A 24,040-nucleotide genomic window follows, 5' to 3' on the forward strand; every position below is an offset into this window, starting at 1 on the left:
ATTGCTGGGAAATCCTAGTTGGCCTGGTTAAAAAAAAAAAAAAAAAAATCAATTGTCAGCCATGAATCATTAGAGAAAATTATAGTGTCAGTGCCATTTTCAATAGACTGCTTAAAAAGTAATCATATTACAAAGTGTTTCTCATTGGCTTTATATATATATATAAACTTAAAGTAGAGGACATAGCAAGGCATTTCTTACCTAATATGCTTACTGTGAAGCATCCCTTTTGAGCAAAATCACTCTAAATTTTCTCCTCAAAGTGATCCTCTCTTGATTATACTGTACTGACTCTTACCACCAGGAAAATGTCTTAAAACCACTTCTTTTTCCTGATAAATGCAATGCTATTTGTCTCTTGACATAAGTAAAGCTTTAAACATGGTCTTGGCCACATGTGGAAAGAAATACTGGTCACGTAAAATACCTGATATATCTTTCTATGTCTTCCCCTGTTTTTTTTATTTTTTTTTTATTTTTATTTTTTAACTCTGATATTGATGATGGCATTTATTTTCTAGACCTTCAGCCTTACTCCCGGAATGATATTTTTAAACATCAATTAAAGCCCTTAGCTAGACACTCTCTGCATTACGCCAGTTTCCCTTTAATGTAGGATGTCCCAATTTGAAATTCCCCATTTTCTCTTGACTTTGTAAAAACAAAACCCAGAGCAAAACATTGCTTCTTTCCCTCTTTACTTCCTACTTGCCTAACAATGAGACAGGGACAGCCGTGCAAATGGGGCTTCCCGATGATAAAGTAATTTTAACACTAACTAAAATATTGGTGTTTCCTATGGTGGGCTGCTAATTACAAAATACATTTTTCCTCCTAAAGAAAAAAACTGGGCCAAGGCAAACAGCTCAGTGATAGCAAATAAAATGTAACCATTTCCCTATGGTTTTGCTGTTATATGCTATTATAGACAGCATACGTAAAGACCAGTAAGGGTTCATTTTTCCACCTAAAATGTCGGGCTTCCTGTAAAATCTTTGATTCTAGTTTCAGCACTTCTAAGGTAAATGGGCATCTTCACATGTCATTTATAAAACTTCTAATGAATGAATTATATTAAAATAGATAAACAACCTATAGTTTTAATGAATGTATCCTAGATTGTATGCTCATATGTAAGGATTCTAAATATCAACTTGATAACCAAACCAAACATAGTGCAAATAGGTTATCATTTATTAACCACAACCACCTTCCACAAAACTGGTCATTTTTTAATTATTAAGATAATCTGCAACAAGTTGGCCATTTAGCCATCAGCCTATTTCTTCAGCATTTAGACATTAATCCAAGATTCAGAAATAAAGTCAAGTAACTATTTATAACCAAGTAACATTCAAATCAAAACTAGATGAAAGATTGGTTAGTTGCATAGCTATAACCAAAATGCAGTTTTAATATTTTACTCTAATCTATATTTTAACTGAAGTCAATAAAATTTTCACTATGGAAATACACTAGAAAATATGCAATTTCTTATTCTTTTTAAGCAGATTTATTTATTGTACATGTTCAGTCTTTGAAATAGGCCAATTTTATTTATGTTATGTTATGTTATGTTATTTATTTGTTTTGAAATGGAGCCTCACTCTGTCGCCCAGGCTGGAGGGCAGTGGTGCCATCTCAGCTCATTGCGTCCTCTGCTTCCCGAGTTCAAGCAATTCTCATGCCTCAGCCACCTGAGTAGCTGGGGTTATAGGAGCGGACCACCATGCTGGGCTAATTTTTGTATTTTTTGTAGAGATGAAGTTTCACCATGTTGGCCAGGCTGGTCTCGAACTCCTGACTTCAAGCGATCTACCCTCCTTGGCCTCCCAAAGTGTGGGGATTACAGGTGTGAGCCGTGGCACCAGCCTGAAATAGGCCAATTTTTAAAATGGGAGTATTCCTACATTAAAATGGCCAAATAAAGACTTTTTCTAAAATAAACTTTAAACTAATTTTGGATAAATATGTTTTGCCTTTGAGCCTTAATAAAATGCATTAATGAATATTAAGCTGTAAAAAGTACATGTTAACTACATAGCTATAGTGTATAATATTAATATTAATTAGTGCCTTCCAGTAAATTACTAGATTAAAATAAATTTTAATATAAGACACTGAGCTTTTTGTTTTCTTGACAATAGAAATGCAAGCAATAGCAAATTGCTCTAATCCTTTCAAGTACATTTAAGAAAGTTTATGACCTATTGAAGAGAAAAGTAGATCTAGTGGGTGATACTGGCTTCATTATGGTTAATTAATTGATCAGTAGAATGTCAGAAATGCTAAGAAAACCAAAGAACTACACCAGAGAGAAAATGTGTTAATGTAAATTTTAAGGCAAGTTAATTAGCGATATATAATAAAGATGTATATAAGTTCATGATTTACCTGTTTGTCTACAATTTTAGATGATTTTTTGATACTCATATTTAAATCGGTAGCTTTTCCTATAGATTTTAATTTTTGTTTAAATTCCTCTTCATTAAATTAAATAAAATAATAAAATACACTTTTTAACAGTTTTCTCTTCTGCAGCTGCTCTAGGTCATTGGTGGCCATTGAGCCATAACTAGTCTATATTTGTTTTGGGTTTTGTTTCATGTGTCTGACTCAACTAAATTTTTAAATAATTTGTAGTAACCAACTTTGCAAATTCTGGGTTTGTCTTTAAATGTCAGATCTGGCAACGCTGCCTTGACATTTCTGCCTAGAAACTATTGGCTCTAGGCAGTCAGTGCCTGTCTGCTTCAGACTGTTGACTGAAATCCCCATTCGTTTTCATGCCCTATCTGGCCCTTGCTGGCATATGAGTTTGCAACCTTTGGTGATTTGCAGAAATTGTCTATGTTAGAAAATCATTAATATCTAGATTCAAACATATTTCTAAATAAAGCTTTAAATTATTATGGTAACTTTAAATGTATTTATTCTAATTTTTTTCATTAAATTGCTCTTCATCATATAAATATATAATTTTTATACAACTGGATGAGTTTGGCAGAAGAATACCAACTTTTCATATTCTTTGTGGCATTAAACTTTAACTTGTACACATGGAAATAAATAATCCTTAAAATGACTTATGACCACATAAATGCCTTAGCACATGTGGTTCATATTTGGAGATTTCTCATATTTGTTCAATATAATTTATTTTGTTTGTTTATCCACAGTACTTAAGAAAACTTCTATAGTCAACATATATACTGTAACTGGCCTCTACACAGTATAAGCAATTACCTTACATGGCTATTACCGATAAAGTTAAAGTTGTATAAAGCCTTTGGATGCTTTTGATTTCAGTGCTAAATAATGGAGTACACATAGAAGAAAACATTTTAGCTTTGGTTTGAGTGATCAAATTTTAGGTCAGCCTTTTTACATTCATGTTATATCATCCCCATTATGCGTATCCTGTGTATTTAATTTTGATCATTTGATGTCCTAAAGGAAGAAAGCTATAATTCTGCAATTTTAATTAATTTTACACTTTGCTTATCCACATGCCAGAGATTATAAAAGAAATCCCTAAACTTGTCCCACTTAGTTGTTGATATCCTCTTCCTGTATTTTTAGAGAGGCCATTTCTTATTTTCTCTAGACATAGCTTTTCATTCCTTCTTGTTACCAATTGTGAATTCCTTAAAATAGAGATGATAAAATTTATAGCCTTTTAAATACCTAATTTATGATTTCTAAAAGATGGTATAGCTTAATTTCATTAAAATATTCAAATAAATGATACTAGAATCAATTAAGTTTTAAGCAAACATTCATATATCTTTCTTCACATGTATAAATGGGAAATAAACATGCCTTTTTATTAAAAATAATTTGAAGACAAAAGATAAGTATTAAACAATGTTTTATACCATCTCTGTCAATTGGAAGTTGTCACTCTAACTTAGCCAGAGCAGATCTATCTCATTTTGCATGTGATATCATAGCAAAAGTCTAATCAGTTGCATAGGGAAGGAAAAACTAAGATAGTATTTAATCAATAGGATTCAGAGGAAAATTATGCTAATGTGATTTAATCTATTTTCTAGTAATCCTATCACTAAACTGTCATTGAATTGTACTGCATTAGAAAGGAACTCAAATATGTGTGACGGCAATGGACATCTTGTCACCTTTAGTTGGCCTTTTTCAATGAGTTAAGCATTATATGTGTGTTACCAAAAAATTATTTTTTATAGTTCAGAGAACCATTTTTGTTGGATGTGTAATTTGGAAGTTTTGTTTACATTATGTCCTTAGGGGTTTTCTTTGTTTTAACAGCATGCAGCTTGACAGAAATACACTACCCAAAAAGGGACTAAGGTATATATTCCTCTCAGCACAATTGCTACCTCTCTGTTGTTATGTAAACTTTGTGTGCTGTCTCTCTTCCTTCTTTGTTTGTTTGCAATGTAGCACATGACATTGAGGACGAAATCACTTTTAATTTTGATGGTTTCTCTGGCCCGAACAGTTGGTGAGATAGCCCCTTAGGTAGAGATACTAGTAGAGATTGAGGCTGTCTCTCAAATTAAATAAATTCCAATGTGAATATCACTATTTTGAAGAAATAATACTAAACAAACAAACAAACAAAACAAAAACAAACAAACAAAAAACTTGTCCCAGGCATTACTTTTTTGGGGGCAGCAACTTTGGTAGAATGCAGAACTCACTTCAACAAATTAAAATAAAATTAACTCTTCTAACTTTTGCCTATTAGAGTCATATGCATGCAAATATTCAAAACCCATGCAGTCTACAGATGTGGGCAGTTAATGTTGATAGGTTGAAGGATGCTACAATCTGAATCAAAGAAAACATATTTTCATCATCACAGGACAAATGCTGTAATTAAGGTGTGATTTTTATAGAATCCTTTTGATAAAATCTCAAAATTGTTTTAATTTCTATTTTGCAGGGGTACTGCTATCAGATCAATTTAAATCTGAATTAATCTAATATTTAATAATCTCAAAATAATTATTCCATCCATAATAAAAAATAAAATAAAAATTTAACTTATGGCCATCTTTTACTGTGTACTTTTATCTGAGGAAGAGATAGAATGATCTACTAATAGAGGTATAACACTGTATGTGTATGAAAAGTTGGCTAATTTTGGTGCTAAGAATTTACTTACAAAAAGAAAAAGAATATACTTAGTTTGGTGAAACACTGAATAATGGCGAAACTAGGTCTTTCTCCATTATTTTTTTTCTCTCCAATTTTTCAGCAATAGCAAATAGCTGGCAATTATTCCATGTTAATATTTTGATCCAGAAATTTATGTTCCAGTAAAGCGAGCACATCTCCCTCCTTATTTTTGTAATCTAGGCATGATGTCAAGTGGCAGTTTAACAAAAGAACTGTTTTTCCTTTAAAAAAAAAAAAAAACAAAAGCTGCCAATATGTATTCCATTTCCCTATGCCTTCTGTGACCATCCTTCATTTCCCTTGGCCCTGGCCCGCCACTGTCCTCCATTTGTAGTCCATGTTTTCACCCTCTTTACATCCTTTCTTGCCCTGTGCTTTTGAGTTCTCAATTAACTTGGCTGTCTGCTCATTGCTTATGATTTCCAACTGCATATCTGATAGAAGCATAATTTTCTCCTCAAAACCCTTTATCTTATTTTTTTTCCCTATGTGATTCAAACAGATGGCGTAAGATCATCTGGAAGAACTGAGCAATTATAATTAGATTCAATCTGTTTGAAATTGTTCATTCTGAATAGTAACCTCCTCTGAATTGTTTTCCTGTCCTGGCATTGCCTTGCCCTTGTAGATGTGCTTAAGTGTCATAGCTGTGCTGTTTTGCAGATATACCCCATCATCTCGGCAGGCCAACCAAGAAGAGGGCAAAGAGTGGTTGCGTTCTCATTCTACTGGAGGGCTTCAGGACACTGGCAACCAGTCACCTCTGGTTTCCCCTTCTGCCATGTCATCTTCTGCAGCTGGAAAATACCACTTTTCTAACTTGGGTAAAATATTCTAAAATATTGATTTTGTTTTGTTTCTTTCACCACCCACTCTCACAGAAACCCTGGAATCTCTCCATAACACAACACGTTTTCATTTAAAGGGAGGGATAAAAGCACTTTAACAGTACCTTTCATTTGTGTCATTGTTTACTCTTCACAGAAAAATCTCCAAACATTATGCTATTTATTGCTCATGACAAATGCTTAACATAGATTAATACTGTGGTTGTTTTCTAGTCTAGGCTCCAGAGGCTCAGAAAGTTCACTTGACTTGAAAAAGTCTTACCATTACTAAGGGTTCAAGGCAGTAACCAGTTCAGAACATCTGACTTTAATCCCAGGGGCCTTTCCATTCCATTTAAGAATCCTCTTAAAAAACAGGAAGGCATCTCCTTATTTATTTGTCTGAAATATTAAAACATCCTTAAAACAAAATTAGTAATCTTTTGTAGAAAATAGAAACAATTAGGAAGAAAAAAATATGTAATTCCATGACTCAAAGTTAACTTCTTTTAACACTGTTAAAGTTAAAACTCCTTAAAATTCATACAAGAATTTCTGTTAAGACAATACTCTGAACATTTTCAAATAGATACAATGAAAAATAAATTACCAACTTAGTCATTGGGTTACTTTGTATTTAACATCATTTGTATGAAATATAAAATCATTTGCATAAAATTTCATTAAAAGCACTCTGAGTAACAAAATAATTAAAGAAAACTAAACATGCCAGATACCATTTAATAGATTCAATGACTTTAAAAATATATTTATTTTCTATAAAGTCACATATAAAGTATTCTCATTATTTTTATGGTAAATATTTTTATTATTAGTTTATCAGAAAAACTTGTACATAAAGATGAGTATTGATACATAATCTTATTAGAGCCAGAGACGATCATTCCTTCTAGAAAAACACATCTCTGAATTTAGGACGGAGGACAATGAAACAAGAAATTTCACTTTATAATTTACCTTTGTCAAACTATCCCAGAGCACATCAATTCCATCATGAAAGTACTCCTTTGACATTATATAAAAAATTAGTAATAGAAAACACACAATCCAAAACCTTATATTTTCTAAACTTCAAGTTAATCATCAACTTCTCTTAGATTTTTGAAGACCTGAAAATAAACATAATTTCAAATAACAGAACTCAAACACCATATACATTTGTAATGAGGCACAACAGTCAATTTTGAGCCTTGTATTTTCCAGGTTTTAGCTGAATAATCTTCACTGCTTTCTTAGCTTTTTGCCAGTCTAGTTTGGGGACTATTTTGCCTTACTGGGCCTAAACAGAGTGTAATATTAAAATATGTTAATAAGCCATACTGAGAATAAGATAAATGCAGGTTTCTAACTCCTTAGGGACACAAGTGGGGACAACACATTCCATGAACACAGGTGAATGAATGCCCCTAGTTTCTCTGAGTTGGACAATTTCATGCGATCATTTTTTTCTCTGAGGCCAAAGTCTCTGGTTTGATCTTCCTAGCAGCTTCCAGAACAGAAAGTGAGTTTACTTTGTCTCCATATTCTTTTTCTGCATGCTCGGGAATCCCCTGCTTTCCTGATCCCACCACAAAAACTCCCCTGAGGATGAAGCCTTGGCTTTCCAGGCTTCCAGGGAAGCCTCGATTCCTGGCTGGAGGTAGTTGTACCACACTCCCAGAGGGCTAAATCCCATAAACATCATCTTCTGTCTTTGTAGATCATAGAACTTTTTATTATCATCCAGGAAGATTTCTCTTTTGAAACAAGGCTGGAAAAACTTTATGTCAGTCCTGACCTGCTCTTTAATGACTGCGTAGAGGGAGATGCCCAGCTTATCCAACTTGGGTTGCAGGGAGGACAGATCTGCAGCCCCTCTTGCCAGAGAAAACATCCTGGCACAGACACAATCACAACTCCATTCTTCTCCCGATAGCTCCTTTGCTTTGAAACTCATTGGTTACTTCTCCAGTGTTTTCAGGTCTATATTCTCCAGGTACTCCAGCACCTCTTTCCAGGGCTTGGACAAAAATACATCTGTGTTGGCCAGCATCAGTGCCAAGGCAGCAGCCTCCAAGGGCTCCTGCACCCATGGACCACATCCACACAGAGAAGCACCGTGGGTCCTCAAGTGCCTCCCTCTTCTTCCCTTCTCCCAAACCTGAAGCCCAGACACTAAGGGGTCAAACCCTCCTGGGCCCTGAGGGTTCCAAGGGCCTCATTACTTTTTCTTTTTTTCACTGGAAAAAAAATTCTAATCATGCACCTACAGAAGATTGACATTTTTCAGTAAGTTGGACTTTCCAGCTTTCAGCCAGGACAAGACTCAAGGCTATGTCTTTTCTATTGCAACCCTTCCCACTATATTGAGTAGGGCTTTTAGCAATTGAAAACAATTATTTTGGTCATGGTTTCATATAAGCTAATGATTTCATATCAAACACCAAGTTTTTGTTTCCTAACCTATATAGTGATAAGAGAATTTACCTATAATGCCAAAGAATGTATAGCTTTTATTTGCTTTAAGATGCAGTTGATTTTTTAAAAAAGCGAAAAGCCTAACACTTTAACTTCAAAAAATGAATTTAAAATGTTTGTGTAGGTCATAGGAATATGAAAAAATTTTATACAACATCTAAAACACACCCAAATCACCTAAAGTGCTATAAGCTTGCTAAGTACTTCATGTCTCCTATCAATTCTTTCATTAATTGACGTTAATTTGATTAGTTGACTCCTTCTTCTATTTTTCCTCACCATTATTATTCTGATTAAATCCACCTTCATTATTCCTTAGGAACAAAAAGACTCACCACTTAACTATGTCTGACATTGGTGAAGTCGTTTAAACTTAATTTTCTTATCTCTTGAATGGATACATAATACCTAGGTTATATTGTAAAGAATGACGGATATAGTGTATGTAAAGATGGAGAAGTGTGTAAGACTTGACAGATTCTGCCAAATCATTATTTTCACTGGAAAGCATGTCTTACACGATCATAGAGTAGCATTCATCAGATATGCCTGAGCTTTGTCTACATTTAATTGAGTAGTAATTCGCAACACAGTAACCACAGGATTTTATGTAAAAGACATTCACAGATTGTGTTTTTGAAAGATTGTATTTTTGAAGTACAAAACTATGACATTGTTATCAAGGACTCATTTACCACAAATATCAAATATTTGTGCAAAGATAAGTTTATGCTAAGATTTGCATAAATTAAAGTTAACATGGCAACTGAAGCTAACATGTCCATGGTCACAATGTGTTAAAAAATGAATGGTTCTGTAGCACACTTGGGAATGTATTTTATTACATAGTTTTCAGAGTTAAAACACAATTAATAAATGAAATGTGAATTATACTTTTACTGACAACAAAGCTCTCTGTAGAGCTTTAATGTTCTAATGAATTAGAAAACCACTGATCAAATACATCCCTTACATTTCATTGCTATAGAAACCAAGTCTGAAAGGTTAAGTTTACCTTTCTAGGATGTGGGTTTCCCCCCTTAATCTATTGTGGTTTATATCAGAGATCTCTCAGCTGTGTCAGACAGGCCATGACTTAAGTGACACTGCCCTCTTGATTCTCTTCATACTTTTCCAACTACAATTCTTTCTCCTGGGGTTGCTCATCTTAACATAGCTGTATCATTTATTGTAGACACAAGGTCACTTTTGAGAGTGAATGGGACTATATTAATAATTGTTCCAGGTATTAGGTGCAAACCCTGGGCAATGCAATTCATCCTCCATCTCCTCCTTATATTTATGTGTTTACCAAGTTGTTTTTCCTGTAGACTTTTTTTTATCCTAAACCCTTTTTCTATGTTCTCATTCACAACTTTAATTCTAATCTCTCAAATCAACATTTCACTTTCTGTCTGAGACCTTTTTCAGCTCTAAAACTAAAATCCCATCAGTGTGCTAGACCATATAGCCACCTGAAATCAAAGTCTTTTCTTAAGTTCTTTTCTTCTATTTGTCTTATAATTTCATGTATCATCCTTCTCTCTACTCTAGCACAAAATCTGTGTAATCAATAGTCTTACTTGAAACTGTGCTCTTCATATTGTACATTTTCAATAGACAGGAACCTGTGATTTTATCTTCAGAATATCTCCTACATCTGTCTCTCATTTTCAGGGACATTGTCCTTGCTGAAGCTTTTTTAACTATAGACAATTGCAGCAGATTTTAAATTGATCTTACTCTGTCGACTCCCTTATGTTTCAACATTTTCACCCATTGGAAGGTATAAAAGAAGATATTCCTGTCCGTGTCAACATAATCTCATGTACCTCTCCAGATCTTAGAAACACGTATGGCTTCAAATCAGGCATTTTGAGATCTTTATGCTGTATGGTTTCAGAGTGGAAAAAATGATTGATTCAAAAACATAATATTTAAAGAGTTTTTATTGTATTTACAGTTCACCTGAACCTCTGTTCATTGGGCAAGAAAATGAGTACTCTTAAAATGCAATAATAAATTAAAGTTACTTTATTATTAAATTTTAAATATATATATATATACTTACCTTAAATATGTCCTCTTGTTGTCTTTTAGCATCACCCATTTTTGATTTGACCATTATCTTTTCTGAATAATCAGTAAGATACAGAATTATTATTAATGTTCAAAAGTTGCAGTATTCATGTTTTCTTTATTCTTTCTACCAATTAAAATGTGTTAATATATAAAATTTTTAGAAATTTTACTATAAAAAATCACAACATATATTAGAAAATTAAGATCACTACAATATGTCATATTTAGTAGACTACTGTGAGCTACTGCCACAGTAAACTATGGTTCGTGTGTCGTTCCCAGCATGCTAGCCCTAGTAGAAACCATTCCCATTCAAGAAAGACTAACAAAGTATAGCTTACATAAATCAAAAAGTCTTTGGATGAAACTTCATTTGGGAAAATAACCCAATCTCTACCCTTCAATTTTTTATGAATGAAAAAATGGAAGAATAAAGGCCTCTAAGATCCATTCAAAGCCAGGAGACACACAAGAATTTCTAAATAGAAGAGAAACAGAAGAGGTCATAGTTCTTGTGAGCCATCTCATAACCTGGTGAGACTCATTGTCATGCCTCCATGCATGATAACAATCGCTCAGATTCATTTTTCATCTTGCCACAAGGGTTACATGCAGGAACATTAATGTCAACCTGTCACTTCTAATATCCATCTAATATTCTCTAAATTCGATGGATCCTTTTGCATATGGTGATTGTTAAACACCTTTGCATAGGAACAGTTTCTATGCTTTTGTACTCAAATCTTCCTCTACCTTGAATCCTTTCCCATCTTCGTGTTCAACCTTCAATCTTCTCAGAATGAACTCCTGTCTTCTATTCTTTCGGAAGCATAGAATCTCACAGTCAGAAGAGACCACATCTGGTTCAACCCTTCATCTCTTATGTAAAATTTTATGACATCTCTAGCTTCTTCTTTAAACCCACCAATGACAGAAACTACTAAAATCTAGAAATAACACCTTTGAAATTCTTTCTTTAAGAGATCAAATAAAATTTTCCTGAATCTTCACCTATTGTTCCTAGTTATATATATCCAGATTCTACAAAATAAGTCAAAGTTAGATTGCATATGACAGCTCTTCATATTTAAAACAATATAATAAACTCACTAGTTAATGTCTAGCTGTAGATGCAAAAGTAGAGAGTGACTTGGGGTTATTTAAGAACCCAGTCCAGCCAGACACATTGGATCATGCCTGTAATACCAGCAGCACTCAGGAGGCTGGGGCAAGAGGATCCCTTGTCCAGGAGTTACAGGCTACAGTGAGCTATGATCGTGGCACTGCATACTCCAGCCTGGAAGACAGAGTGAGACCCTGTCTCACAATAATAGTATTTAATAATATCATAAAAACCCAGTCCACATTTATATAGGATCCTGTTTTCCTCAAGTTACTACAAATAAATATATAATCTTAATAAAAGGTTAGTGGCTTTGCCAAGATAGTGGCTTGGCTATGCAAATGCAATTTAAGACAAAGTTGGTAGCCCTCTTTTTCCTAATACATTGCCATATCTGTTTCTCTTCTATTTGGAAATTCTTGTGTGTCTCTTGGCTTCGAATGGATCTTATAGTCCTTTTATTCTTCCATTTTTTAGTCATAAAAAAACTGAAGGGTAGTGATTGGGTTATTTGCCCAAAGCAGATGGAAAGCAAAACTACCACTAGAAGCTCTTTACCAATTTGTGTTCCATTCAAAAAATTATCTTTGTATGTCTTACATTTGTCTTCTACTGTATAGTTTTTCTTGTTCTATTTTACATATTAACTTTTCTCCTTCTTCAGACATCTGCCCTACTGGCTACTCTTGAAATCAGAGACTGTGTCATATTTTTCCTTCTATTCAACTACAACATCTAAAAGCAGATCTGTCATAGTTATTAACTTAATTGAACACTCTTAAATAGTTAGGTGTAATTTCCAATGCAGAAGCTATCAAAAGGGTTTGTAAATGCAAACTATTCCCTTTAAAATCTATCCTAATCCTCATTAATGTTTCATCTTGATAGAGCTAAGTATTATGTATTGAAATTGTAGAAGTACACTTCACTTGGATATCTCTGCAATCATTTAGGTAAGAATTATACAAAGCCAAAAAGCAAATAAAATATCCTCCTAACCCTATAGATACGTATACTAAAATGATGCACTTGCAAATTTGTTTAATACTTCATTAATTTAAACAAGAGTAAATTCATACTGTGAACCAAGAATAGGGTGACTTACCCCAATCTTGCCACCTTAAACATAAACATTTTAAGTCTTCAATGTCCTACAGTGTACCTACTGGCTGTTGTCACTAATCAGACCGAAATGGTACTAATGGTCACTGCAGGCTGAAGGAATATGCTTGAAAGATAGGCAGATCCTCTCCCTCTCCCTTTTTTACTTTTTTCGCCTTTCCATCCTTTCTTCTTTTTTTCCAATAGATTGTGCACTTTGGAGATTCATATTTTCTTCCTTTTCCATTACATTTTAAATATGTGATTCTTAGTCCTATGCTTCCTTTTACTCCAATCAATAACTGGCTCTATCAGAGGGTTGTTCTGTGTGTTAATTCGGTTAATACCAGGATTATCAAGCACAGTGCCTTCCAAATGTGAGATACTTCTCTCCGGTTACCTCTGGGTTTACTTTTCCTGTTTTACATTGTTTTGAGAGCCAGTACTTGTATTAAGAAGAAGTTTAGTGCCTGTGTCACAGAAAAAATCTTAGTAAATTTTGAAGTGATGTCAGAACAACTCTAAGCCACTGACGGATTCCACAGGGTTTTGAAAATACTCGTTAGTTCCCTTTATATCTTAAGAGGCTCCTGCCTGCTTTCTCATATACCAGTAACAAACTTGCTTTTCTTAAATATGAGCATTTAGAATATCTTTCTCAATTTTTCTGTTTTGCTTTTATTCCAAATTTCACAACTATATTGTTTTCCAATGTAGTTGTACATACAATCAACCAAATCTTTCCTTAAATTGATGACTACCAGGTGAGGACTCTTTGGCAATAAGCAATAAGAAAATAAATTGTTATTAAAAATTACAGACTTAAGATACTTCTTTGGAAATATAACATGTTTGTGACTTTTGACCATCTCATCATGATATGCTCATCTTAAACAGAGTAGAAAATCATTTCATATAATTAACTTTATGGTGGGCTGCAGATACCATGTATGTTACATTGTGTTTAGTTATAAAAATGTTTATTATACACTATTTCCTTATAATCTAACTTTGATAATAATGATGGTCCTAATCATGAACTTACATCAATTAAGAGCTTGAAGTGACTGAGAGTATTTGCCTGGAAGCATTTAAAGCCCTTCTTGGGAAATTTAGATGTTTTATATTTTACTTTCTTTTTGATTTTGCTTTTTCCATTAAAGTGATTACTATTTTTAAAGAGAAAACCGAAAACTCTAGAAAGACCATCTTTTCTTCATAACAGGTAGCAGAAAACACCATGTTATTACATTTCTAGCAAGAGCAGTAGAGGTGACTTGTTGGTTTTGTGTACTGTTGCTTTAGAAATTGATGTAAGGCTTCCCATAAACGTGCCAGAGGAAAAGAGGGACGCAATGGGATCTGTTATTGAACATTTCAGAGGCAGACTCTTACCTTAAATAGGGACTCACTATACATTCATGTTTTCATAAGTATTGGGATCATGTTCTTACTTTCTATCAACCTGCTATTTTCATCTTTCAAGCTTAAGAGTAATAGGCTCTGTGTGTTTTGTTTTTCAGTGAGCCCAACAAATTTGTCTCAGTTTAACCTTCCCGGGCCCAGCATGATGCGCTCAAACAGCATCCCAGCCCAAGACTCTTCCTTCGATCTCTATGATGACTCCCAGCTTTGTGGGAGTGCCACTTCTCTGGAGGAAAGACCTCGTGCCATCAGTCATTCGGGCTCATTCAGAGACAGCATGGAAGAAGGTAAGCGTTGAGGGGGATTAAAGATGAAGTCACTTTATTTAAACCCTGAGAGGGAAACCATTGTGTCACTCACATCACAAAGATTCCTGAAGAGGAAAATAAACTAGTGTAATTATCATTTGGGAAACTAGAAGCTTGAAGAAGTTTTATTCTGTATTATCTTCTATTTCTTTATGTATTTGGAAATATGCCAGAATTTGTTTATATTAATACTTGGCTGTAGAAGAGTTTAGACTAAATCTACTTTTCCAATACAGAAATATACATATAAACTATTTTCCCAGGTGCATCAAATATCAGAGCAAATGTTTTGTTTGACATTTTGGTTAAAGAGCCATAAAGACACACAAACCAGAAACATTATTTTATGAAAATACCACATGTTGCTGACTTTTATTCCCAGGAATTCCCTCTGGTGCTAATTTTTTATTATATCATTTTAGAATTCATATTGTACCTACTTTTTTGCTTTATAAGTCACTATTTCTTCATCCAATGGCAATAAAATTGTCACCTAACCTAATAAATATCTTTATAGTTATATAGTTCTATGTAAATACTCCAAATAAATCAGCTTGAAAACCTCAGGAAGCTGAGTTGATGCTCAAATATATATATTTTTGTAAACTGTAGAAGCTCAAATGTCAAATTTAACAATAATTTGAGAGACTTTTCTCTTTGATTTAATGAATTTTTTTAGTATCCATAAAGAAAACTTACAGCATACATATTATAAAGCATGTCAGCTAAGGATAAAATAAAACTAGACATACAAATTCAAACTGATTAGAATGAAATTATTAACCCTAATAATTATGTTTAAAAGAAAAGTCTCCAAATCTTGAGACATACCAGAGTTTAAGTCTTCAGCCATCCATTTACTTGTGGTATAAACTTAGGCAAGTTTCTTAACCTTCTTATCCCTAAGTTCTGCATCTGTAACTTCTTAGGTTTGTCACAAGGATGAAATATGAGAACAAAGAATAATTCTGTTCCATGATCTTTTCCCTTCCTACCTTCTTATTTAAAGTATCTTCTGACTGAGGGGTTAGGCAGCAATGAAAATTGACTCATGTTTTTCAGGTCACCACTATGGATTCAATATACTGGCATTAAATCAGTAGAGAATAGTTGTCATTGCCTTTTGCAATATTAACCAAACCACTCAGTTCACTGTGACAGACAGTGAATTATATCCAATGACTCCACTGATTTTTTCCATGTAGATAGACAAAATATAACTACTCTCAAATGTAAGGACCCTGCTTTCTGAAATGGTTCTGTTGCTCTCTTCACAGATAGGCTTCTTATAATACTTTTAAAATAATTTGCTAAGCATACAGATGGCTTTCTAGAGTGTGGCATTGACAAATAAAGTGATTTTTATATACTGGGAAATTCTGGCCTTCAATGTATCAGGATTAAATAATCTGAATTTCTGAAAGCTAGCCTAAGTGGGCAAGATGGCTTTTTTGTGCTCACGCATTGAATACTGAACTATTCTAGTTCTTAAATGGCGATCTAGATTCAAGACTTATTGAACTAGATTGAAGGGACTTTATTGATATCCTACCTAATGCTCACACTGACAGATGAAGAGACTGAGCCACATGTTCTAAGGTCATAAACAGAAAGAATGAGAATGAGATGGTCTAATTAATTGTCCACCTTTCCTATGGTACATCAGGGTAACACTTTAGTTTACGAGGGTATTATTAGAGATAGAAAGAATTTTTTTTTAAATAATTGACTCAAATACCAACATTTTGCACATTACATAGAGTAATAGCTTTGCCCAAGTTAGAAAACTGGGGGTTCTTCTTTATTCCTCTTTTGACCACATCTATATACTCAGTTTTAAAAAGGTTCTTCCTGGTATCCTTCAATTCCATCCCCATGTTTTCATCTACAAGCCTAGTGCAGCTATTCCAGCCGTCTCCTGATCAGGTCTTAAGCACCTCCCATATGTCCTTGTAGTACCCACCATATTGATCTCAGTAGCAATCACAGTACTCTATTGTAAATATCTTTTAAATTATTATCTTCTCTTTGAGCTTTTGGGATTTTATCTTATTTATTTTTGTAGTTCCAGGATCTAGCAACAGCTTGTCACATCGTTCATACTCAACTAATGTTTGTTTAATGCACAATGAGCAGAAATAAACATACTACTCCATAGTAAAAAGAGGATGAACTTTTCTGCAAATATTAATCAGCACCATTTTATCCACCTTTTGGGTTTAGTACATTGGAAGTATAGGAGTATAAAGCAGAATGTCCAATGTTTACAGTGATATTTTGAAATAGATAAAAGCCAGTGCGACATTTCCATTCTCAATTTCTCTGAGACATCACCTTGAAAAAAAAAAGTATTTTTCTCTTCCTAAAATTAGTAAAGGAACAGTAATTCCACATTTATAAGAGTATGATCAACGCATCACAGATAATGTTGTAATAACACATTAGATAAAAGTGCTTATTTTCCTGAAATTATATGGAGAAAAAAATCTGAAAGTGGACCTTTGTTGGATACAAATGAAATAAATAAGGTACATACATTTTTTAAGGTTCGAAAGTTTATGGCAACTTTAGTTTGGGTTTCCATGCTATTCTATTTATTATATGGGAATTTACTGTAGCTTTCAACATGTACGAAACAGGCTGGTAGGGCTCATGCTTGTAGGCTTCTGTCTAATAACTTGGCAACTGAGGTACTTTAGGGAGTATGGATGGGGCTCTTCCATGTCTCAACGTCCTGACTGCCAAAAAATTATAGCAGGCTGGTTCTCAGAATCTTATAGTTAGTTGTTATTACTTAATTTCCCTAACCACCCGTTCTTTACTTTTTCTGTAAAGGCTGGAATTTTTGAGTAGACCTTATTGTTTTAACTCTATTGTTCTGTTTGTTTTCTCCAGTTCATGGCTCTTCATTATCACTGGTGTCCAGCACTTCTTCTCTTTACTCTACAGTAAGTAATGGCTGTTAAGAAAAAGCTTGTGCTTTTGCCATGCACACAGATGATGAAATAGATCATTTTACTGTGAACAGATCACATTCATCTATGACTTGCACAGGAGTTGTGTAGCAAAATAACGGCATACTCTAAGCTGCCCAATACCCAATAAAGTGCCAGGTGCTCCACCTGCCATTCTTTGGTCACTTACATGTGCTTTCACTTGGCTTTTGTGCACTCATCATAATCAATGAGTGGATGTAGAATTCGATTTCATAAAACCTACTGAGGTATGACTTGGAGTCTCTGAAACCATGTATGTAGTCTGCTATACTATCATTTTAGTAATGACGAGTTGTCCATGTTTTGTTCTTTGAGCCGTGACTGTTAATTGTTCTATAGTATTTTCTTCTCATTTTTTATTTTTAAGTTTATTGTTGAGAGGATTATCGAAGGGTAAAAGCAGTAAGGGTAAAGGGTAAAAGCATAAAAGAACCAGAGATGTTTTTTTTTAAATATACCTTTTGAAAGAGTGTGATTTTTTTAACTTTTATTTTTATTTTATTTTATTTATTTATTTATTTATTTTTGAGTCGAGGTCTTGCTTTGTCACCCAGGCTGGAGTACAATGACACAATCATAGCTCACTGCAACCTTGAACTCCTGGGCTCAAGTTATCCTTCTGCCTCAGCCTGTCAAGCAGCTAGGACTACAGGCATGCACCACCATGCCCAGCTAATTTTTAAATTGTTTTAGAGACAAGGTCATTGCTATATTGACCAGACTGATCAATACCCATGGCTTCAAGCAATTCCTCCTGCTTTAGCCTCCCCAAGTGCTGGGATTACAGGTGTAAGCCAGCACACTTAGATAGAAACTTTATTTATTAAGAGAAAAATACCAGTGTTTCAAGTTCTTTTGCAAACGTGTGACATTATAATTCATTTTTGACAAGGAGAGTTTTTCTGTTTGGTAAATACAATTCTATCTTTTTTAAAAAAGTAGCCTACAGGAAGTTATATTTTATGAGTGAGTCTTTTTAGAGCTAGGTTAACAGTGAGGTATATTTAAAAGCAGCCTACTGAATCTCAATGGGACTTGAGTACTATGAATAAGCCTTAATCCTGTACTGTAAGGTTCATGAAGAGTTCATAGCCTCTGCTGTCACTGATCAACTGAGCATCATGGGCAGTATTTTTTTCACTCATTATCATTAGGTTCAAATGTTTGTTTGAACCTTCTCTTTATAGATTAATCTCATATATTTACTGCCTTACATAGTCATTCAAAATCTGACTGTTATTGGCAGAGGTAATATTTTTCTAATCTCTCCTTTCAATGATTAAAATTACCCATAGCTTCTAGAAATTAAGAAATCACGATTAGTTTTTAGGTAAATGTACTTTTTGTGCAAATGGATAAAGTGAGGAATGTGTAAACACACATGAAAAAAACACATAAAAGAAATATATTAAGACTTAGTGTTCCTCCTGTTGGGCCAGCACTGCCATTTGTTGGGGAATTGTATTCTGATTTAAACCATTGCCATTTACATCTATGTGTAACATCAAAAGATGTAGCATCATTATTATTCTAAATACATACAATAATTAATATTTGGATAAAGCTACCTTCATGAAACCTAAGAAAAACTAAATTAAAAAGAAAGAAAGAAAGAAAAATACACTTAGATAGAAGAAATAAGGTCTAGTGATTGGTAGCACAATAGAGTGACTATAGTTAACAATAATTTATTGTACATTTCAAAATAGCTAGAAAAGAAGATTTGGAATGTTCCTAACAGGAAGAAATGATATTCTTCCTAAATGAAGAATGGGATATTCCACTTTCCTAGATTTGATCGTTACACAGCATATGTTTGTATAATACCACATGCACCCCATAAATACATACAACTATTGTGTATCCCAATATTAAAGATTTTTTTGAAAAATTTATTCCTCAAGAAAAGGATCATGAGTTTAAGAAAAAACAGATTACTAGTCTACCAGTGTCCAGTAGACCTTTCTGTGTTAATAAAAGTGTTCTGTATCTACACTATCTAATATAGTAACTATGAACCATATGTTGCCATTGATTATTTGAAGTATATCTGGCAAAGAGATGAATTGACTTTTTTATTTTAATTAATTTACATTGAAATAGCCACATGTGCCTAGCAGCTACTAGATTGGATAGTGCAAGTTTATAGAGAACACAAGGGGTACATTTGTAGATAGGAGTGGGATGTCAAAATGATGAGGATAATTAGAAAGCATACATGAGAAATATTGTTTTAAGAGTAGAATATGAAATGGGAACACAGATTAAAATAGAGTATGTATATATATACATATATATGTGTATATATATACATATGTATGTGTATATATATACATATATATGTGTGTGTGTGTGTATATATATATTTATAGGCCAATATATGGAGGTAGGGTATATCCTAGTGTTAAGTGAGTAAAGAATGGATTAGGTGATCGAGCCACATGAGAAGGTGATATTATTAGAAAATTGAAAGTTGTATTTGAGATGATGAAAATGATATATTTGAATTGAAAAGTAAACTGTAGTAAAATAATTCAAATAAATGAATATTTGGGGAACTACTTAAGAGAAAAATCATAAAACATGAGGAGTCATTCTTTCCCCAGTCCGCCATGATCAGGCCTTAGGATTTAATTGGCAATGAGAAAATACCTATGAAAATGCTTTTTAAACTATCACATGAAAAAGCAACTTATTATTTTTCATGCCTTCTTAATAACTCTCAATAGAGATTTAGTTGATTTGCATTTTTGCCTGGTTCAATCAAGAAATTATCGCGTGACATCAGGCAAGTTGCCAAATTTCTTTGGACTATACCTATAAAATAAAATTTGAAAATATTAGCTAGATCTAACCCATTTGTCTCCGGATGTCTGCAAAGTGGTTGGAAATCACAAGCCTAACCTGATCTGCAGAGGTGTTACCTTTGGCAAACTTATGGTTTTTGTGTTTGTTTTGAAATCTAAGGCCAAGCGCGGTGGCTCATGCCGGTAATCTCAACACTTTGGGAGGCTGAGGCGGGTGGATCACTTGAGGTCAGGAGTTCGAGACCAGCCTGGCCAACATGGCAAAACCCCGTCTCTACTAAAAATACAGAAATTAGCCCGGTGTAGTGGCATACGTCTGTAATCCCAGCTATTTGGGAGGCTGAGGCAGGAGAATCGCCTGAACCTGGGAGGCTGAGGCTGCTGCAGTGAGCGCCACTGCACTCCAGCCTGGGCGACAAAGCCAAACACTGTCTCAGAAAAAAAAAAAAAAAAAAGGAAAAGAGGGAGAGGGGAGGGAGAGGGAGAGGGAATCTAAGCCAACACTGTGAAATATTGTGAAATATGGAGCTTCTACCTAAAAATTCAAAATTTTAAATTCCTTTTAAAAATAATTGGAATATCTATGGAATATCTAGCAATACTAAGATGAAATTCCTCTGGGTTTTCAGTCACCTGTAATTGACACCTTTAGATGTTGGCATGGGCTCTCAGGAAGCCACAGCCTCCACCAATGCTTTTCTTCCTGACACTGAAGCTAAATTTGGGTGGCTAGTTTTCATTGTGCTGTTGCTTTCCTCATGGGAAAGAAATACCCTTTGCTATTTATATTGCTGTCAAATGGGAAAATGAAAGACAGCCAAGGAAGATCATGTGACTATTTAAATACTTCAAGTCCATTTATTCTTTATTAGCCTTGTCCTGTTAGGCATTTAAATTTTTGATCCCTGCAATAGATGTTTTTTGATTAACTGTATATTAAAAACTATATTTAACCTGTTTTGAATTTGAATTCTAAATTGTATTTTTTCATGAGAGCAAGTGTCATTTTTGATTCATTGTGGATTGTTTAACATGTTGCCTAACAAATAGCTAATACTAACGTCATAACTTTTTAATTAATAAATTTGAATGGATAAATGGCCACTTATTGGCTTATAGAATAAATAAAAACATTTTTATTCAGTCAAGTGTTTCATATTTTTTATCATCTCCAGGACATTGGGCTTGCTCAAAACCATTGTTAAAAAAAAAATGGCAAATAATCCAGTTCCATCATGATATCATTAATCCCACACCTAAGCTACTGAAAAAAATATATTAATATTCTGGCTCATTGCTTTATTTTTATGGTAACACCCACCTGGTATTAATAACCACAGAGTACGAAAGAAGGCAAAGGTTAAAGCAAATAATAGTTTTGAAAAATTGGTAGTGAAAAAAGTCATGCTATACGGTATGTATATAATAGATATTTAATGATTATGCTTGCTACTAGTATATGTAACAGGACTATTATAGATTAACAAAAATGCGGTGAGTATATTTCTTGATTATTTTTTAAAAGAATAAATTATTATTTAAAAATACATGAATTATTTATTGATTCTTGAATCTTTACCAGCTTTCTATAATTCTAGGAAGCCTAGAAGCAGAATTGGGCAGGATAAACTGGCAAAAAATGTAAAAAGTAGGCCGGGCACGGTGGGCTACAGTGAGTTGTGAATGCGCAGTGCACCTGAGTGATAGATCAAGATCCTGTCTCAAAAAAAAAAAAAAAAAAAAAAAAAAAAAAAAAAAGAAAGAAAGAAAGAAAAACAACAACAAAAACAAAAGCAAAGTACTAGGGAAAACTAATAGACATAGTTACATAGTTAATTGTGCCATATGTTTTAAGGCAATGAAACTTTTATCTTAATATTCCTTGCTTACTTTTTATTCAAAAACCAAACTGTGTATAAAACCTTAAAATTATTAGGATCTAAAAAATAAAATCTTTCCTTAAAAATCTAAAATTGAGATGTAAATTATTCAAGAGTGCTTTTTAAAACAGTTTTCTTATAAAGGCTATTAGGATTCTACCACTTAGCCACTTTATTATTTAGCCACTATATTACTAAGTTTACATATTTTTAAAGGTAGTGAAAATATAGGGAAGACAAAGCTCAGGTTAAAAGAGTTTCTGGCAAATAAAATATATCCTGATGGTTAGACTACTTTGCTTTATGTTTTCTGAAAGAAAAGCAGTAAAAAACAGTTCAGGTAGTTTTGTGTCAATTAATCTAGAACTATACCAAAAGTAGACATAGAAAACGAGAGATTGTTTTTCAGCTTTGGATCTGCTTATGGCAATAAGCAGACTTGTACTATTCAACAACATTATGCATTCTTCAGCTTTTCCCAGAATAAGGGAGCTTCCCAAATGCAATGGTGCACATAACTCATTTTCTGGCATTTTGCAGCCCAGCATGAAGAAGAAAAACAGAGCTAGGAGTTTTCTGGAAGTCAAGTCAAAAACACCCTGCAAATTCCTATGGCAGTCCTCCTTTCCATAAGCTGCATAGCCAAAAATGTTTGCCAGACACTTTTATCACTGGGTGTTTCAGTGTTTTCATTGTTTAAGCGTTTTGCTGACTTGTGATAATTAAAATTATTAATAATCATTAAAGAAAGAAAAAGTAGAAGTAAATAATGTTAATTATCTGTGGTTATCAGTAGAGGTCTGTATGTTACCCCAGCTTTATTTGACATTGTTTGTGATCAGTAAATCACAGAATAAAATTCTGACATCTAAACCTTGGCTAGAGGTCTCTATAATTTTATGGAGTCTGTTTCCTACAATCTGTATGAAAGATACTTCAATATTTTAAGTTTACATGCACCCATCTTTTTTAGAGTATAATTTTATAACTATTTGGTTTATGTTGCTTATGATTTACATCTTAGAGTCTTTTAATTCTGTCTTTTGCTTAAAGGAATATTATGGATCAAATGACCTATATTTTAAGAATACCTTATGGTTTATATATTAAGAAACATTTATATAAAATTCTAAAGTAACTTGCTTGTACTATTTCAATTGAATAACTTAATGTATTTCATTCTATTCTTCTCATAGTAGATAATAAAAAGTACATCATGATTATTGTATTCATTTATACTTGTGGAATTAATTGAAAATAGTTTTTATAGTTAAAGTCTTTCTTTTTATTGTTTTACAGGCTGAAGAAAAGGCTCATTCAGAGGTAAAAAAAAAATATGCAATATTTTAATATTTTCTATTTTAGTTTGCATTCATGATGAAATTAGTCTTGTGACCACTAGAGGGCTCTGTGATACAATAGCAGAACTCCACAGGACTGCTGAAGTAAGGCAGCTAATTGATAAATGGTCTTTGATATTGCCTCTTAAAAATAAAATGAAAGGAAGTTTGTATAGCAAGCTGTCCTTTCACATTCTAGATTGAGTCTTAGCTCAACACCTAATAAGTTTTCTATAATAGTAAGCACTCATTAAGTCATTGATAAATGAAGGTCTATGGTCTTCCTATTTTATTACAGTCTTTTTCCCACTCCCTGTAAGACCATCTACACAGGATAATGGTTGAAACTTGGGCACCAAGCCTCCACAACACAGGATACTAGCATCTCAGACTATCTGTTTTGTGTCATTATCTTGTTGCCTCTAACTGCCATTTTATGTGTGGTGTGTCACCTATTGTTCTAATCACATATTTCACAAATACATATTTGGTTGCACTCGTGAGCAAATC

At 33.5% G+C, this 24,040-nt stretch overlaps 1 protein-coding gene and 1 pseudogene across 31 annotated transcripts in view; one reads left to right on the forward strand and one right to left on the reverse strand.

Moving 5' to 3' along the window:
• NAV3 (neuron navigator 3) overlaps positions 1–24,040 on the forward strand; it is a 641,149-nt gene that overhangs the window by 551,018 nt on the left and 66,091 nt on the right. For 17 of the 31 annotated variants that reach the window (XM_017020166.3, XM_047429817.1, XM_047429823.1 and 14 more), the window contains 5 exons: positions 4,288–4,329; positions 5,827–5,987; positions 14,298–14,486; positions 17,403–17,455; positions 23,490–23,513. In XM_017020166.3, coding sequence (XP_016875655.1) covers positions 4,288–4,329; positions 5,827–5,987; positions 14,298–14,486; positions 17,403–17,455; positions 23,490–23,513 — 469 coding nt within the window. The remainder of the gene's footprint in view (positions 1–4,287; positions 4,330–5,826; positions 5,988–14,297; positions 14,487–17,402; positions 17,456–23,489; positions 23,514–24,040) is intronic. The other 14 variants (XM_047429818.1, XM_047429819.1, XM_047429826.1 and 11 more) reach the window with 1 other exon arrangement.
• On the reverse strand, positions 7,454–8,116 carry PRXL2AP1 (peroxiredoxin like 2A pseudogene 1; annotated as a pseudogene).

The sequence above is a fragment of the Homo sapiens genome, chromosome 12 (genome assembly GCF_000001405.40).
Source record: "Homo sapiens chromosome 12, GRCh38.p14 Primary Assembly".
Lineage (NCBI taxonomy): Eukaryota > Metazoa > Chordata > Mammalia > Primates > Hominidae > Homo > Homo sapiens.